Source organism: Homo sapiens, chromosome 3, assembly GCF_000001405.40.
Source record: "Homo sapiens chromosome 3, GRCh38.p14 Primary Assembly".
In the NCBI taxonomy this organism is placed as follows: Eukaryota; Metazoa; Chordata; class Mammalia; order Primates; family Hominidae; genus Homo; species Homo sapiens.
The window spans coordinates 33610498-33629545 of NC_000003.12; the positions used below are offsets into that span (position 1 = coordinate 33610498).

Sequence of the window (19048 nt, forward strand, 5' to 3'; positions counted from 1 at the left end):
CCATTTTTAAGGCAATTCTATGGTACATTTTCTGATTTTGTCTTCTGTCACATTCTTATTTTTCCAATTACCATTTTCCTCAATGTAAGACGGGTTGGTTAAAACTGTTCTGTAAAGGGCTGGACAGTAAATATTTTAAGCTTTGTGGACCACATACAGTCTCTGTCTCATATTCTTCACCCCCATCCCCTACCTTTTAAATCACCCTTTAACAACGTAAAAAACCCCCTTAGCATGTGTAGGCTGTACAAAACCAGACTATTGGCCACATTTTACCTGCAAGCTGTTGTTTGCTGACCCCTGACATAAGACAGAGATGACTGAACAACTGTTGTCAAAAGTTTGAACCACTTCAAATAACAATGTCTTATTCAGCTTCTTCCTAACACAGTATTTAATTAAACATATTTACCTAATTTAAAAAGGCAGAGTTCTTTACAATCTTCTTAAACATCAAATGTACAAATCTTGTTTTTCCTGTCTTTATTATTGTTGGCGATAGTGGTGTGAAGTTGTCAGAATCAAAATGAAGTCATTTGTGTTACAACACACACACATACACATACACTTGACAAATGGAGCTGAGGAAGGCCATTAAGGGAGAGTTCTTATGAATAAATGACTGATAACAAGAGCTATCACAAAAGACTCCAAAAAAACACAACCTTGCACAAAGGCTATCGCAACCTTACAAAAACAAACAAACAAACAAAAATTCTGCAAGGACATCTACGCAGCAACTGCCTGTCCAACCTCAAGTTGGCATCACCCTTGTTACTGATCCTTGTAGTCCAGGATAACCACCTCAAAATGATTATGTAATCTTCCTCATTTTTCCTTTAAAAACCTTTGTTTTCCTTTACCTCCCTGAATACGCATAGTTTACTACTGTATGCAAAATACCACTGTAATCCTCATTCCTGCATAAATACTAATATCATTTTCTTTCAGAGAAACTCTCTTGTTATTCAGGTTTACAGGTGTGATGTTAAGAATTGTAGAAACCAGAGACAGAGGCAGACACTAACTGAAAGACCTGATAGGGCTATATACTCCGTTCCAAACACCAGGCTACATTCTACTAATGTGTATCTCATTTAATCCTTATGTTCTACGGGGTTGACATTATTAGCTCTACTAACCTATGCAGGGACTAAGGTTCAGAGCAGTTAAATAATTGCCTAAGGTAGAACAGTCAATGGCAGTTGTAGGACTCAAGCCCAGACCTGACTCTGTACTCCTTGTTCTCTGAAAACCAAGGCAACCAGCAGCCCAAATAAACCAAAGCTTAATATGATAAAACTAAGAAAAGTGGGTGGTCATAATAATCACTTCATCCCTTTTCCCTTACATGAGATATGATTAAAAAAACAAAACAAAACACTTTTTTATGGTTTTCTGGAAGGCAAGAAATGAATGACCAATTCTTGCAGCAGACAAATAATTAAACAATGCAGTATCAGAGCTATACTAACAACAACAACAACAAAAAATTAAACTTACCTCCTCACGGGAACTGATTTTGATGTGCAATTGCTTGTTATTAAAGGTATAAGTCTGGGTACATGAGTATGCTGAAAAAGATGTTTTAGAAAAGGTTGAAAATACTACACACTTCATGTGGTCCTTTCTTCTATTTGCCTTACATTCAAGTATTTAGTTATGTTACAAGAGGACAAAAAGACCAGATATTAGATTTGAAAGAAATTAAGACCAGTCTTGAAAAGTTTTCCTGAATTAATGTAATGTAATGATGATACAGTTTCAAAAGGACAGGTATGGATATAATATGATCTAACAAAGAAAAGTTAACTGTTTAACTGCAAAGAACTGTTAAGACAATATAGTTTTGGGGGAGAGGGAGCACTAAGAGGGACTGGGCATGTACTGGCCACATTTTCTGAAGTACCATGGCTACTGCTGGTAAAAAATCATAATTGCCATGTCATCAAAGCAGGTAGTCGAGTGAATCTATTTCCTTAACTATTGGGAATGCACTTTGAAATGGTGGTCTTAATAGAACTTTCACTTCATTCTGGCTGAATCGTATCTCTCTAGAATTCAAGTAGAAGTTCCATAAAGACATAATCTTCTGATTTCTATTAGTAATTCTTATGCCCTTCTTTAGTGAAGCAAACAGTAAAAAGTTCATAATAGACATTAACATAAGCATACATATTTAATTCCTTAAATCTCCTGTATTCCTTCTGAGCTAATGGTACAGGCTGGGTTATCTAGGAAGCAGGCTATGAGATGGAGTTTAGCATGCAGGATATGTATTAGGAAGTGCCCTTGAAAGACAAATATCACATGTTCTCACTCATGTGGGAGATAAACAAAAGTGGATCTCATGAAGATAGAGAATAGGTTAGTCATGATCAGAGGCTAGGAAGGATAGGGGGAGGAGGGAGTGAAAAGGGGTTGATTAATAGGTATAGAGTTAGAACAATAAGATCTAGTGTTCGATAGTTCAGTAGGTTGACTATGGTTAACAACAATCTATTGTACATTTCAAAATAGCTAAAAGAGAATAATTAGAATGTTCCTAGCATGAAGATAAATATTTAAGGTGATTAATTCCCTATTACCCTAATTTGACACTGACACATGTGAATGCATTAAAATATCACATGTACCCCCAAAATATGTACATTACATATTAATTTTTTGTAAATGCCCTTGGGGTTACCATCTGTGGATGTGAGATGAAGGAAGCAGGAGTGGAGCAGGCAGAGGAAGAAATTGAACTGTGATACAGCCCAAGGCTATCTTTGCCCAAAACCATTACGAAGCTCTAAACTGAAATAGTCCCTGAGAATACTCTTGAATTGGTCCAAGATGGCCAAACCTTTATACTTCCACATCAATCAGTTATTGGATATGGGCAATACTGGGAAGGGGCAACACCTTGGGAAAGGCAGCTCTCTAGCTGAAATAATCCTTTAAGACACTGGCAACAGAAGGCTGTCTACTAACAGTTCTCCTAGCATTGGGGAAACAAGTCTTTCATTGAAGGAAAGTGCATATGGCACATCAGTGTTTGCCACAGCTAACTCAACCAAAATAAATGAAAACCCTTTTTTCAGCCACTAAAGAGAAACGATCTATAGACTTGAAGCTGTTGAAGATGAGAATAATGCAAGAAAGTGTGCTGACATGCCTGTTAGTCAACTGTTTAATTCAGCATGAAAGGACTCTGTGGACCTGCTCCCTACAGCATTCACAAGAGCCCACTTCTCAAACATTACTACGGAGGTAAAACCCATGGAGATCCCCTAGCTACAACAACTATAAAGGAGGTCTTACCTACCACACTTCTCCATTTTTCTTCTAACTTCTGCAAAATCCTAATGCTGGGTTAATCACATCCATGACAGTGGCAAGGATGGAGAGATAAACTAACCTAACCATTGCTACATCATACTCAGGGGGAGCTGTACCAAAGGAAAGTAAAAATTTACATCAATTACAGATGAAGCATTCAATCAAACACTAAGTCAGAACAATTTACACTTTATTAATATAAGTTGACAACAGGGGAAAAAAAGCTTCCTAAAATTAAAAAGAGAATTAGAAATTAAGTACAGCAATCTAAGGAAGTAGACTCTTAGGAAATAAACAAAGCAAAGAAAAACAGGGGTAATATTTAAAAATTATTGCATTATTGGTGAGATGATAGGCTAGTATAATAACGTGAAAAATGAGCAATTTGAAAACAAAGTATAAAGAGTAAAGCCTGAGAATCACAAAATGGGTACTTTCAAATAAGTAGAATTTAAAGGAATTTTTCCTTACATACAGCTGTTAAGACAGAGACAAGAAGTTATTCAAAAAATGATAAATGACATCAAGGATTTCAGAATTTGTGTAACAAAAGTAACAGCAGGAAAAGATCTGAGCCAATAAGACAGAAGTACTAAATAAAGAAAAGATCCATGAAAATTAACATAAATTTAAGATAACCAATTTCTGTCAAAAATCCTTGTCCACTGTATAAGAATAGTATTAGTGAAAGACAATTGACTCCTAGACCTGCTGTGGGGAAAATCTTCACACAAAGGGACTGTCTTACAAAACTTCCTAAAGGTTGCTTGGTAGTGGTGGTGGTTGTTTTGCTATAAAATAATCAAATAGTCTCATTTTTAGAGGCAACAATAAAAAGTTAAGAAAACGGGCTGGGCATGGTGGCTCACGCCTGTAATCCCAACACTTTGGAAGGCCAAGGCAGGCGGATCGCCTCACTTTCCCAAAGTGCTGGGATTACAGGAGTGAGCCAGGAGGTCAGGAGTTCGAGAGCAGCCTGACCAACATAGTGAAACTTCGCCTCTACTAAAAATACAAAAATTAGCCAGGCGTGGTGGCAGGTGCCTGAAAGCCCAGCTACTTGGGAGGCTGAGGCAGAAGAATAGCTTGAACCTGGGAGGTAGAGGTTGCAGTGGGTGGAGATGGTGCCACTGGAGTGACAGAGCGAGACTCCATAACAACAACAACAAAATTTGTGAAAGAAAAGGAAAGTGAACCTGAAGTTCAACGGTCAAATTTTTAGTCCCCATATTCTGAATTGGCAAGGAAAAGCCAAACCAAATTATACAAAGATAAAAATATATATGAAAAGTGAGAAAACACTAAAGCCAAACAAGAATGACCCAGAATCAATTAAAAAAAGGGAAGTGACAGTATACCAATAAATGGGTCAGAAATAAAAGCAGTAAAAAACTACAGTTAATTACAGTTGCTGAAAATGAAAATATCTTTGTTAAATTTAATTCAATGGGTAAGGGAAAAAATGACATGAATGAAATAAAATGTATACTTTTTAAAAGGCAGAGAGGAGCATAACAAAGGTTTTATTCTTGACAATAAGGAACTTCTAAATTACAAAAAAAAAAAAAAAGGAAAGAAAAGCAGCACAACGAACAGGAAACAAAATATAAGAAAAAAATACTATTTCAAGATGATAATAGTAAAAAAACCTTGACCATACATAAAGTACATATATCAAGAACTGTTAGAAAAATGAAATTGACAAAATTAGAACCAGAATTTACCAGATAAAGCAGATTTAAAAAAAAAAAGAGACCATAAAGAACTTGAATAACGTAAATAAAACATAAGCTAGATTTAGTGATGAACAAAGTACTCAATTCTATGCCAAAGAATTCTACATTTGTAAATGATAACCAACTACCTATATAAAGTGATGACATACTAGAACACAAATAAAATTTCAAGACATTCACTAAAGAATAAATCATACAACCAAATTCCCTGATCAGAATGTCATGAAACTAAAAAATAATGACAATAAGAACAAAAGCACCATCTGAAAATGAAAATATTATTATGTAATTCAAAGAAGTTGAAATGGAAATTACAAATGATTGAAAACATAAATAAAACATGGTAAATTTAAATCACTGAGATGCTGCCAAAGCCAAACTCAGAAGAAAACCCAAAGCCTTATAATAATAAAGAAAAAGCAGTGCAAATTGTCTAAAGATATACCACAAAAATCTAGAAAAATAAAATGAGCTAAAAGTTGAAAAAAAAATAGAAACTAAAGAATTAGAAAAATTAAATAATCTCACTACAATCAATAAAACTATAAACTGAATTATAAAGAACCCAAAATAATGCCTCTGCCAAGTATATATAAAAGAATGTATAACATTCTAAAAAGAAAAAGTCAGCTGGGTGCAGGAGCTCACACTTGTAATCCCAGCTTCTTGGGAGGCTGAGGCGAGAGGATTGCCAACATTTCAAAATAAAAGATTCAAGATGCCCAGAGCCTAAAACAATGGAAATGTTATTATATAATCTTAAAGGTCATTAAACCCTAATAGCAGAACAATATATTAACAAAATATGTAAAACAGGAAAAAAAATTCACAAAATACTTATTCATTTAAATGAATGCCAAAATCTTACTAAACTTAGCCAACCGAATCTAGCAGTATCTTAATGTACAATGGCCAAGCAGAATTTAGTTCCTGAATGTATAATGAATAAATGAAAAAACAAAGATAATCATTTCTAAAGATATTAAAGGGCTATCTGATAAAATTCAACATCTATTCCTGATCAAACTTTAGCAAAATGTGAACAGCAGGAAATTTCCATAATCTAATATACTATATCCATAGAAACACATTAAAAATCATATTTAATTAACGTTAAATATGATCCCACCCAATTCAAGGATAAAACAAAGATTTCAATAATTCCCACTATACTTCCTTTTTTTTTTTTTTTTTTTTTTTGGGACAGTCTTGCTGTGTCGCCCAGGCTGGAGTGCAGTGGCGTAATCTCGGCTCACTGCAACCTCCCCCTCCCAAGTTCAAGCAATACTCCTGCCTCAGCCTCCAGAGTAGCTGGGATTACAGGCATGCACCATCACGCCCAGCTAATTTTTTTGTATTTTTAGTAGAGATGGGGTTTCACCATATTGGCCTGGCTGGTCTTGACTCCTGTGATCGACCTGCCTCAGCCTCCCAAAGTGCTAGATTACACACGTAAGCCACCATGCCCAGCCTCTATATTTTCTAACATTGTTACAAAGGTTCTGGATTAAGGTTGTCTACAATCTTAAAAAAAAAAAAAGCCTGAAACGGGAAAAAAGGACCATTTTCGTATTTTAAATTAGCATTTAATATAAAATACGAAAATTAGCATTTAATTTAAAATATGAAAATAGTGAAAAAGAACACTTCCTGGGAAAGTAATATTAGGAATAAACTTACTTTTTTTTAACAGGAAAGGACAAACTGATCAAGGAAACTGAAAACACATTTAAGAAACAGACTTACATATTTATGAAAATTTATTACATGAAAACAACACCATTTCAAAAAAAGGCTACATTGTAATTCACCACACGCTACTGGCTCAATTGGCTTTGTATTGGGGGAAATATGAAGTTAGAAATCTATATTTCACACAAAAATTAAATCCAGTTAGATCTAAACCTAAGAAAAAAATGACAGAAGTTCTAAATGATTGAATATTTTTGTGTAACTGTGAAATTGGGAAAGTTGTTTTAACTATAACAAAACCCACAAAATGAACAAGTCTCAATACATAAAAATTTAAAATTCTGATATATAACAAAAGAGCTTATACAATATTTGAAGCAATGTCAGACTGTAGAAAATACCACAACATATGCAACACAGAATTAATATCCTTGATATATAAAAAGATCTTAGAAGTGAGAAAAAATGCAGAGTATAAACTGACAATCCATAGAATTATAGAAGGAAAAAAATAGCTAACATCCCTAATAATGCAGGAAATGCAAAGTAGAATATGAAATAATGGTTATTAAATTATAAAATGCCAAAGATACTGATAAAAGACAATATTGGCAAAGGAATGGAGAAAAAGGACTCCAGGAAGAAGACTGCAGGAATAAGAATGGTGCGGATAATTATTATTATTATATATATATATATATATTTTTTTTTTTTTTGAGATGGAGTTTCACTCTTGTTGCCCAGGCTGGAGTGCAACGGTGCAATCTCGGCTCACAACAACCTCTGCCTCCCGGATTCAAGTGATTCTCCTGCCTCAGCTTCCCGAGCGGCTGGGATTACAGGCATGCGCCACCATGCCTGGCTAATTTTGTATTTTTAGTAGAGACTGGGTTTCTTCATGTTGGTCGGGCTGGTCTCGAACTACTGACCTCAGTTGATCCGCCTGCCTTGGCCTCCCAAAGTGCTGGGATTACAGGTGTGAGCTGCCGCGCCCGGCCTGGTGAGGATAATTTGATGCTATATCCTTAAGAGAAGACTAATTTAGACATTAAAAAGAATTACACATATGGATAAGGGATGTTGCCCAAGTACATGAAGTTTAAAAAGAAGCTAGGCTGGGCATGATGGCTCACGCCTGTAATCCCAACACTTTGGGAGGCTGAGGCAGGCACATCATTTGAAGCCAGGGGTTTGAGACCAGCCTGGGCCAACATGGTGAAACCCTGTCTCTACTAAAAATACAAAAAAATTAGCCAGGCATGGTGGTGGGTGCCTGTAGTACCCGCTACTTGGAGGCTGAGGCGGGAAAATAGCTGGAACCCGGGCGGCAGAGGTTGCAGTGAGCTGAGATCGTACCACTGCACTCCTGCCTGGGTGACAGAGTGAGACTCTATCTCAAAATAAACAAATAAATAAAAAATAAAAAAAAGGAAGTTAAAGAATATACTATGTATACTTACATGTTCTATATGTGTAGCAAATACATTTGTATAGGCACAGAATAGAAGTTTGGAAAAGTACACATTAAATTGCTAAAGTGATTACTAACAAAGGAATAGAATTCAAAGGGAGAGATTTGTTTTTTCAACTCTGTTCTTTCAGACTTCCTCAAGATATGAGTGAAGAGAAATACAGTCATACCTCACTTAATGATGGGGATACGTTCTGAGAAATCCGTTAGGTGATTTCATCATAGTATGAACATCATAGAGTGTACTTGCATAAACCTACATGGTATAGCCTACTCCACACCTAGGCTATATGTTAAGGCCTATTGCTCCTAGGCTACGAACCTGTAGCTGAATTACTGTACTGAATACTGTACTAAATATTACCGTACTGAACACTCTAGGATAGAGTAACACAATAGTAAGTATTGTGTATCGGAACATATCCAAAAGTAGTAAAGTAGTAAAGGTACAGTAAAAATATAATATTATAATCTTATGGGACCACTGTTGTATATGCAGCCCACCATTGACGGAAACTTTGTGAGGTGGCACATAACTACATTAAAAATTTGCCTGTCTTTTATTATTTTCTGTAACATTTGTGATTATACACACACGTAACTGTAGATACATATATGTACTCATATGTACATGTATGTATGTATTTTATTCCATATACAAACATGTTTACTTTGCAATCCTCTAGTTCTATAATGACCATCTGTGGCTTTCACTATCAGAAAAATAATTCAAAAATGATTTGCTTTTGGGGTTCAAAAAGAAACTCCATGACTTACATTGAGAGAGAGGGGTGGGGTGGGGAAAGGAGAGAAAAAGGGGGAGGAAGAAGAAACAAAAGTGGGGGGAGGAGGCAGCAGTAGAAAACGAGAGAGCAAACCTACCCGAATGATAAATCTGATTGCTGCACATCCAGAAGTTGCCATGACTTTTGCACTATTGGGGACGAGATTAAAAAGTGTAGGTACAATGGCTTCAGCGCCATGATCAAACTTGTTTCCCAAAACTGTTGAAAGGTGGCTACAAAGGAAGACAAAAAGTATTTTTTAATAGTTTAACATTAAATATAGATAGAACCATATAATTTTAAAATACTCTTTTACTGAATTAACTTAGGAATTTGTATTTTAATCAGTTGTAATGGCAGAAAAACAGAAGAAAGAAAGGGAAACCTAGATACTACATATTTCCTTCTTTTCCCCATCTTTAACTGGCTAGTCCAAAGTTGAAATCTGGCATTTTCCTCATCTCTTTGCAATTAGCACTTGGAGAAGCCATTTGATTTCAGAATTTAATTATTAACTGAGGACACATCAGGTGAAATAATCAGCTCTGATGGTTCTGACCTTTGGTCTTGATCCATGAGTTATTTCCATTTTGATGATCCATTATCAATCTTAAATTCAGCATATTTTTACAAACAAGTTCAAAATCTTACTCAAATCAATGCTCCTCAAGATATTCTTTATTTCTATTAATAGTATCACGCCTTTTTTAGTCATAAATACTCCCTCACTTTTTTGGAGTAGGATTTCCAAATCCGCAGTCAAAAATACAACTCTACCATATCTTATTGGGTGATCTTTAGGACATCTGACTTCTCTTTCCAATTGTGTACTTAAACAACTAAACCAGACTTTCATTGTATGATTTTAGTTAAACTAGGAGGGATATTGTAACTACTCAAAGTGCTGACAATGCTTGCAATACTGGTTAATTTTTATATATTTGTATCTTACTGAAAACATGGTTGAGATAGAGTTAGCTCCAATAATTCAGGTTCTTGATTCAAAGAGCTCAGATTCCGACCTATGCACTGTTATAATATTAGTTTTCCAATGTCTGAACTCACAGGCAAAAAGGAACCTCAAATGAAAAGCAGGGAGGTGTGGATATGTTTGGATGTTGTCTTCCTTTAAAGAGCATGAGTTTTACTTTGGTAGGCAGGTAATGTACTTGAGAATCAGCTTGATCTTTGTAAGCTTGTTGGGAGAGGCAGAGTCAAGAGTTGCCTTACTTTAGAGCTGGTTTAGTACTATTCCTATGCAATGGCCTTTCTGGGGTTTCTACTGACTGCCTTTGGTGTTCACCAAGATTTTTCCATTCTGGTTGGTCAGATCTTAAACCTCTCCTACCCCTATATGAGCTCTGGGAATTGTTTATCTTACAGCTCCCAGGCATTCGTTCCCTTCCTTCCTCAGAGAGTTGTACCTTTTACATGGGCAGGTTAGTATACATCTAGACTCATGGATTCCCATATTATGATCTCTGTAGCTCTTTGTGTGTGTGTGTGTGTGTGTGTGTGTGTGTGTGTGTGTGTGTGAATCTCCCCTCTTCTCTCCAGTATTCTGCACTGCCAATTGTGACCACTTCAGCCTCTGAAACTCTAGTCTCTGTTTCCTCATCTCAGTGAGACTGCCTTGCTCTGCTTAGGTTCCCCCTTCCTTCCCCATAGTGCCTCCAGGACAAAATTCATACTGTTCAACATCACTTGCATCTTTTAAGAAATCCACTCCTACCCTGTCTGCTGTCTATTACGTGGAAACAGATGTTTTACATATATTGTCCAATTTTCTGCAAGAGAGCTAGTCATGTTTTAAGTGTATTTTTCATGGTTACGTTTTATGGGTTTTTGTATTAATTTGGGTTTTCTTTGCTAGTTGGAGATATTGGGTCATTTTGGTATACTGGGACTTGTATCTTGCAACTTTGCCAAAGTCCCTTTATTATAATAATTTATCTGTAGATTCTCTTGCAGTTTTCTGCATGGATAGTTATATCATCTGTTAATAATGGCAGTTTTGTTCCTTTTCTTGCAATCCTTATATTGCCTTTTTTTTCTTCGTTTCTGACTAGAATATCTAATACAATCCTGATTAGAAATATTGCTAGTAGGCACTTTTTGTTCCCTATCTTCAAAGGAATGCATATGCAACAACACTGCTTAGGTCAGAAATAGTAATAAATAGAAGTTCTATCATCCTTGTATTGTGGAAGACTACAAACTTAAAGTTTAGGTTTTGCTAAGTTAATGATGCATGTTGTAATGCCAGAATAATTGCTAAAATATCAGAAATTGAGTGTTTAATACCCAAATTAGTAGTGAGAAAAGTGAATACAGCCAGTTTCCAGACCCATTCATTTTCATCTTATACTTGAAGAATTAATGATAAAAAATCCACCAGTAGGCTTTAGATATTTTAAATATCTGTATACCAACCTTAAAATGTTGGTATAAAGAGCTGTTAAGGAATTTTTTAAAAATCATACAGATTGAATCCTTATGTATAATAAAAATGATTTTTGGATCATATACTTTTTTAGCTATCTTGCTACTGCTTGACTTAATGAGCAATGAATCAGTGAATACTAAATTCATTCATAAAAAACACTTATCATAAAAGGAATATACTTACGCTACAGTAATACAAGCTTCTCTAACCACCTGGGATCTAAGATCCTTAGCTGAAAGTTTAAGTGCTCCATCCAACAATCGTAAATGTTGAAAAAAGCAATCATACTGTGCAGCTCCAGCAACAAGCAGTGATCGAATTTTCTTCAGCTGAAATAAAGAATTTTCATTATTGACAAAAAAGGTGGAAGTGCAAAAAAAAGAAGCTACCTAAACTTCATTATTCAAACAAAAACTTTCTAATAAATGAAACATATATAATGTTTCATTACATTACTATATTCAGACATCTTAGTAGCATTAAATGTATCTTGTAAATAAATATGCCAACAAAAAGCTGTCTGAAAAATAACATTACAGACTTAGTTATAAGCACGACGGAGAAATGTAAACTATAAGTATATAAATTCTAAAGTTTTAAGGGAATCTATTTTATTTATTTATTCATTTGTCTTTTAGCTTAATCCCCAGTGTGATAATAGGGAGTTTTTCTTTTAATTGTGGTAAAATACAAATGAACAAAATTTACTATTTTAACCATTTTAAAGTATACAATTCAGTGGCATTTAGTGCATTCACAATGTTGTGTGACCATTACCATCACTATCTACTAAGGGAGCCTATTTTTAAAAGTGCCAAATTTGGAAACTTCTAGCATTACTTATTTTTGCTGTAGAACATTTTTTTTTTTTTTTGAGACAGTGTCTTGCTCTGTTGCCCAGGCTGGAATGCAGTGGTGCCACTGCAGCTCCACTGCAACTTGCACCTCCCAGGTTTGAGTGGTTTTCGTGCCTCAGCCTTCCCAGTAGCTGGGATTACAGATACATGCCACCGTGCCTGGATAATTTTTGTATTTTTAGTAGAGATGGGGTTTCACTGTGTTGGCCAGGCTGATCTCAAACTCCTGGCTTCAACGGATCCACCCACCTTGGCCTCCCAGCAGGAGTGAGCCACTACATCTGGCCTGCTGTTGAATTTTTAATTTCTTACATTTTTAATTATTATGAATACATAATAGTTGTACATTTTTATGAAGTACATGTGATATTTTGATAAAAGCACACAATGTGTAACAATCAAATCAGGGTAACTGGGGTATCCATCACCTCAAACATCAATCAGTTCTTTCCGTTAGGAACATTCCAATTCCACTCTTTTAGTTATTTTGAAATATACAATAAATTATTGTTAACTACAGTCACCCTACTGTGCTGCCTAACACTGGATCTTATTCTTGCTCTAACTGTATTTTTGTACCCTTCAACCATCTCCTCTTTATTCTCCCTACCCAACCCCCAACTACCTTTCTCAGTCCATGGTAACCATTATTCTACTCTCTATCTCAAGTTCAATTTTTTTTTTTTTAGGTCCCACATATTAGTGAGAACATGCAATCTTTTTCTTCCTGTGACTGGCTTATTTCACTAAACATAATGTCCTCCAGTTCCATCCATGTTGTTGCAAGCCACAGGATTTCATCCTTTTTATGGTGGAATAATATTCCAATGTGTATATGTACCACATTTTCTTTATCCATTTATTCACTGATGGACATTTAGGTATATTCCATCTCCTGGATTTTTGTGAATAGTGCTGCAATAAACAAGAAAGTGCAGATATCTTTCCAATATATTGATTTCTTTTCTTTTGGATATATACCCAGCAGTGGGATTGCTGGATCATATTGTGGTTTTATTTTTATTTTTATTATTTTTTAAGAAACTTCCATACTGTTCTCCCTGCATGTGGTTTATACAATACAATACAAACCCACAGCCAATATCCTACTGAACAGGGAAAAACAGAAAGCCTTTCCTCTAAGGTCTGGAATAAGACAAGGATGCCTGCTTTCAACACTTTTATTCAACAGAGTACTAGAAGGCCTAGCCAGAGCAACTAGACAAGAAAAATCATTACTTTTTCAATATTTGATTGCCAAATGTTATCCACATGAAAACCAGACATACATAATAAAACTACATTGATAAAAAGAGATACACACACGTGTACATCTGTGTTCATACACACTTAGAAGCTAAAAGTCTACTTATCACACCATTATTGTATATAATTTCACATTTAACTCGAGGTTTTCTAAATTTTAAAATATGTCTTTAAAGTTAAATCAGATGCATAAAGATGTAAATGTAAAAAAACCCTGCTATGGACATTAGAAAAAAAATCAAAAGAATATTATATAATCTTGGGCATATAAGGAAGGGAAAACTATCACAAACAGAGGAGAATTTTCAAGTGTCTAAATTATAACTAAAAACAAAATAAAAATCACAATATGGTAGGATAAAATTACCTGCAACGTATAAGATGATACACAAAGAACGACAATAAAATAAGAAAAAGACAAATATAGTAGTTTCCCCTTACCTGCAAGAGATATGTACCAAGACCCCCAGTGGATGCCTGAAACCTCAGATAGTACTGAACCCTATATATGCTTTTTTTTCTATACATATTTACCTATGATAAAGTTTAATTTATAAATTAGGCACAGTAAGAGATTGACAGTAGTAATATACAAAAATTATAACAATATATTGTAATAAACGTTATGTGAATGTGGGTCTCTCTCTATCAAAGTACGTTCTTATTTCCTGGCCATGGTTGACCATGAGTAACTGAAGCCATGGAAACTGAAACCATAGATAAGGGGAGACTATTGTAACCTGTGATTAAATTGGGTAAAATAAATACATTTAAATATGTTAAAAGTTACTAGTGATAAATTCACAAAGACACATTTCTCCCCATCACAATGGCAAAAATTTTTTAAAATTGAAAAGAAAACAGATGCTCTCAAACACTGTAAGATTATACATGACTAATACCTTTGTTCAAAATATTTTGGCAGCATCTACTAAAATAAAATTGCAGCAACTCTTTACCCAACAACCCACATTTTAAAATCTAACCTACAAAAATAAAAGCACCATTGTTACAAAAGTGTGTAAGGATGTTTATTGAAACACTGTTAAAATAGCAAAACAATAAAAAATAACTGAAAATCCATCAAATGGTAAATGATTATAAAAATTACATGTCATGGGGTGGGGGAGGGGGGAGGGATAGCATTAGGAGATATAACTAATGTAAATGACAAGTAATGGGTGCAGCACACCAACAGGCACATGTATACATATGTAACAAACCTGCATGTTGTGCACATGTACCCTAGAACTTAAAGTATAAAAACAAACAAAGATCAGATTCCTATAACACACACACACACACACATTACATGTATATATATTACACTAAGGAATATATGTACATATTAACCTGCACTCAATAAATATCTGAGCAACTATTTATTATGTGCCTGACATCTATACCAGGTGTACTGAATGAGCACCATTTGTTAAGCCAAAAAAAAAAAAGCAAGTTTCTAAGTAATGTATCAAGTATGATCTCTCTCTTTTTTTTTTTTTGGTTTACAAAAAGAGTAGGGGAAAATTGTGCATATCTTGTCATATATGTTTAAATACATATAACACAGAAAAGGATATACTCTAAAATGAAGTTTGTTTTTTTATTTTTTTTAGAGATAGCGTTTCACTCTGTTGCCCAGGCTGGAGCACAGTGGTACAATCATAGCTCACTGTAACTTCAGACTCCTGGACTCAAGCAATCCTCCCATCTTAGCCTCAACAAAAGTTTGTTTCTTTAATAGGCAGGAAACTATTAACTTTTTCTCTGTAGTTTTCTGCATTGTTTCACTTATTACAATAAGCCTGTGTCATTTTTCTAATAAAAAAAAAATCAAAAGACCATCTGTTGTTTCCAAATGGGTAGTTTTTAAGTAAAACCAAAAAAACCCTTAAGTAAAAAGTTCACATTTTATACTAATAACACTTAATCTGTCATGTTTCTCTACAGATCACCTGTGACAAAAAATCTTTCTGTATCAGACTCATCTCAGAATTGAAGAATAGGAGCCATATTTAACAAATTTGGAGGAATACTCTCTGTTAAAAACAGTATTTCAATGTTTTAAGATATGTAGACTTCCTAACAAAGACAAAAATGGTCCTTTGTTCATAGTGTCATAAAAGCCATATTTGTCAAAAGGCCCTGCATTTGATTTAATTCATCAAAATAGGGATTTTCATGATCAGCCAGATTGGGACCTCTCAAAGCAGAACAGTCTTCAAATGCAGCCCTTTTCTCTGGCTTCTTGAAAACTCTGAGGTACTCATTTGGTAAATGTAATTTGGTTATGTAAACAATAAGTTCACAAATTTAAAAAATATATTGCTTATTGTCAACACAAATATTATTTTAAATTTTATCAAATATTTTCCTTAAGGGATTTAGACCAAATCAAATATTCTTAACTCAAGGGTATCTGACCTTTATAAATGAAATCACAGGAGAAATATTCATCACATTCACATGAGAAGAAAAAAACCCAGATAAATGCATATCCTGTTGTGAATTTACATTGATGCTATGAAAACACTGAACATGCAGGTAAAGTGAACTGCTTTATTGGTAAACCTTATATGACTTGAGGATAGTGCTAATAAGCAACTATATAAGTCCACAGAAAGGCTAAAGCCCTCTGAATCTCACATTTTACTAACCAGTCAAAAACAGCACACGTGGTGAGGCTACCAAATGTGTAGGATAGGCACCACCTGATCAGCCAAACCAAAATAAAAATCGATCCTAAATCAGAAAATGAGTATTATATCAATATATTCTCCAGAAAGAAATGTTACCTATCAGACTCTCTATTTTATAAGTGAATACCATATAGTACTACTACTGAATTTCCATGTTTTTTAAAAGGAACATCAATAAAGAAAGAAGATAAGAAAATTAAAGACAAAAACTTACTGCATTGGCACGCTGATCCCAGTCATGTTTATCATCTGACAAAATTTCCCTGATTTTATTTAATGTTTCTTCGAGTTCTCGACTAGAATAAATCTTAAAAAAAAGATTCAGAATTATAACAATGTTTCTTGCCATGAACAATATCAAAATTATGCCCTGATGTTTAAAATAATCTTTCACCTATTAAGTTTATTTCCCATTCTAGCACCATTTCTAATGGAGAATAGAAATACATTATAGACAATAATAACACAAAATGCTTTATTTTTCTTCCTTACTTGTTACCATTTTTGCTATTTCTTCCCTCATGAATAACTTCAAATATGCTCTCAAAATGCTTTGTAATTTTAAAAACAAGATGTAAAATATCTAAGAATAAATAAAAGTCTAATTTCTCAAAATGACTTCAAGTGTATAACCTATCTTATTGCATTCATATACATATTACCCAATATTACAAAAAGGACATGTTATAAGTTAGTTTTAATTTTCTCTCCTCAGTCATGATAAACTGTAGTCAGGATAGCTACATTTTGTTTCCTCTGGAGCCAACCCTTTGTCAAACTGCTGTTCACCATTATTCTTTCATTCATTTAACAAATATTCACATAACACAGAGGTACTATGCTAGGCAATGGAGAAACTATGGTTAGCCAAAATAGATAGACGTGGTCTTTGCCTTATGGAGAGTACAATACACTCAGGGAGATTTTAAAAATCAATCAAATGACATCAAATATGAAACTACAAGTAGCAAGTCCCACAAAAGAAAATGAAAGTTTATACATAAGAGGAGGTTGACCTATGAGGAAAGTCAAGCTTGAGCTGAGAGCTAAAGAATGTGTAGGATATCATTAGGCAAAGTGGACAGATTTGCTTTCCCTGGAGAGTTAATAGCATGTGCAAAGGCTCTGTGACAAAGTAAATGAAAGAAAGCCAGAGTAAGGAATAAAAAGTATAAAGGGACTAGGAGAAGAGCCAATGACCCAGGTGTGAGGATGGAACAGCTATAACCATATTGTTGACCATGGAAGGAGACAATGCAGAGGAATTAGAAATGAGAAATAGACTCCTGGTGATACCAACTGAGTACCTTCATCAAACCGCCTTACATCTTTCACTTTCAACAGCTATTAAATTCACCTTTTGCTTAACAGAGAGTAAGAGCAAGAGCAAGAGAGAAAGAAAGAATGCGTGTAAATGCAAAGGAGAACAAGGCATGAGACAAGGCTGAAGAGGTAGATGGTGACCAGGTAACACTGTTATGTGGTTAAAGAAACTTCTGAGCTAGCTCTTTCCTGCCTCTCACCTTCTCTTCACAATACCCCTCTGCCGTTTTCCAGAACCTTCTTCCACCCCTAATCTTATGATGCATTCCCCTGGAACACAATGCAAGGTTCCCCTTCCCCCAATAAGGAAGAAGAGAGTCAACTCAAAAACGTACTTCAGTGAGGGGGTACATAATTCTTCAAACATTCTTTTAGCAGGCATACAAGCAAAAGAAGCTTGAAAACCCACTAAGTTAGGTGTCTGTTGCAGTAGAGTGATTCCTAGGTTTCTAACTTTTGTAATTGATTAAGTAATGGTTTACACACACAGAATACTGGAAGACCATTATTCCAATTTCAAACAGGATAAGTTTGAGGTGTCTTTGAGACATCTGAAAGGGGGTGTCAGGTAAACAATCACAGTGGATAAATCATTTCGGAACTCAGGAGAGGTCTGGCTTGGAGGTTAAAATCTCGGCATTATCTAGATAAACGTGGGAACTGAAGCCAGGGGTTTGAAGGAGGTGACTCAGTAAGAAAATAGAGAATGAGAAGACAGGGCCCAGAACTAACCCTTAAGAAATTCCAATATTCAACAGGCAAGTAGAGAAGGATGTGCCTATAAAGAGACAGAGATGAAGTGGACAAAGATGTAGGGGGAATAAAATGGAAGAACATCATATCACAAGCACCTAAAATTAAACAACAAAACAGTGACTATAGTCAACAGTGCTAAATACTGGTAGAAGAACAAGAAAAAAAAAAATCCCAAACTGGTTGATTTTGGTGCCTCAACGATGATCAGTGATTTACTCAAGACCTGTTTCAATGTAAGAATAAGCTAGAAAGAAGTGGGATGAAGTGAGTAACAAGTTAAGTTACAGAAATACCAAGTACAGACAACTCTTTTGGAAAAGTTGACTGTGAGGGCCAAAATAAAAAATAGTATCTGGAAGATATGGAGTCCAGTGAGACTTTTGTTTTTTAAACTGAAGAACCCAGCCACGTTAAGAGATAAACAGAAAGAGCTTGAACCTACATGAGATTACTGATTGTGTAAATGTGTTAAGGAAGCAGAAAATACTAGGCTTTGAAGCACTGGTGGAGGTGCTGGCCCTTGAAGAAGGACCATGTTTCTGGAGCAACAGGACAGAAGGAATGCACAGCAGAGAAGAATGTAACAGAAAGATCATGTTTCCATTTGATGGTGACTACTTATTTACTAAAGTAAGGGGCTAGGTCATATACTGAGAGAAGAGAGGAGGACAGAGACAGGCTGGCTGATGGATA

At 35.0% G+C, this 19048-nt stretch overlaps 1 protein-coding gene across 81 annotated transcripts in view; it reads right to left on the minus strand.

The window, feature by feature from the left end:
- The window catches only part of CLASP2 (cytoplasmic linker associated protein 2), a 222010-nt gene that overhangs the window by 114253 nt on the left and 88709 nt on the right, over positions 1 to 19048 (minus strand). For all 81 annotated transcript variants that reach the window (NM_001375713.1, NM_001400406.1, NM_001375705.1 and 78 more), the window contains 4 exons: positions 16491 to 16583; positions 11638 to 11783; positions 9106 to 9241; positions 1504 to 1574 (listed from right to left, as the gene is read on the minus strand). In NM_001375713.1, the coding sequence (NP_001362642.1) occupies positions 1504 to 1574; positions 9106 to 9241; positions 11638 to 11783; positions 16491 to 16583 (446 nt within the window). The remainder of the gene's footprint in view (positions 1 to 1503; positions 1575 to 9105; positions 9242 to 11637; positions 11784 to 16490; positions 16584 to 19048) is intronic.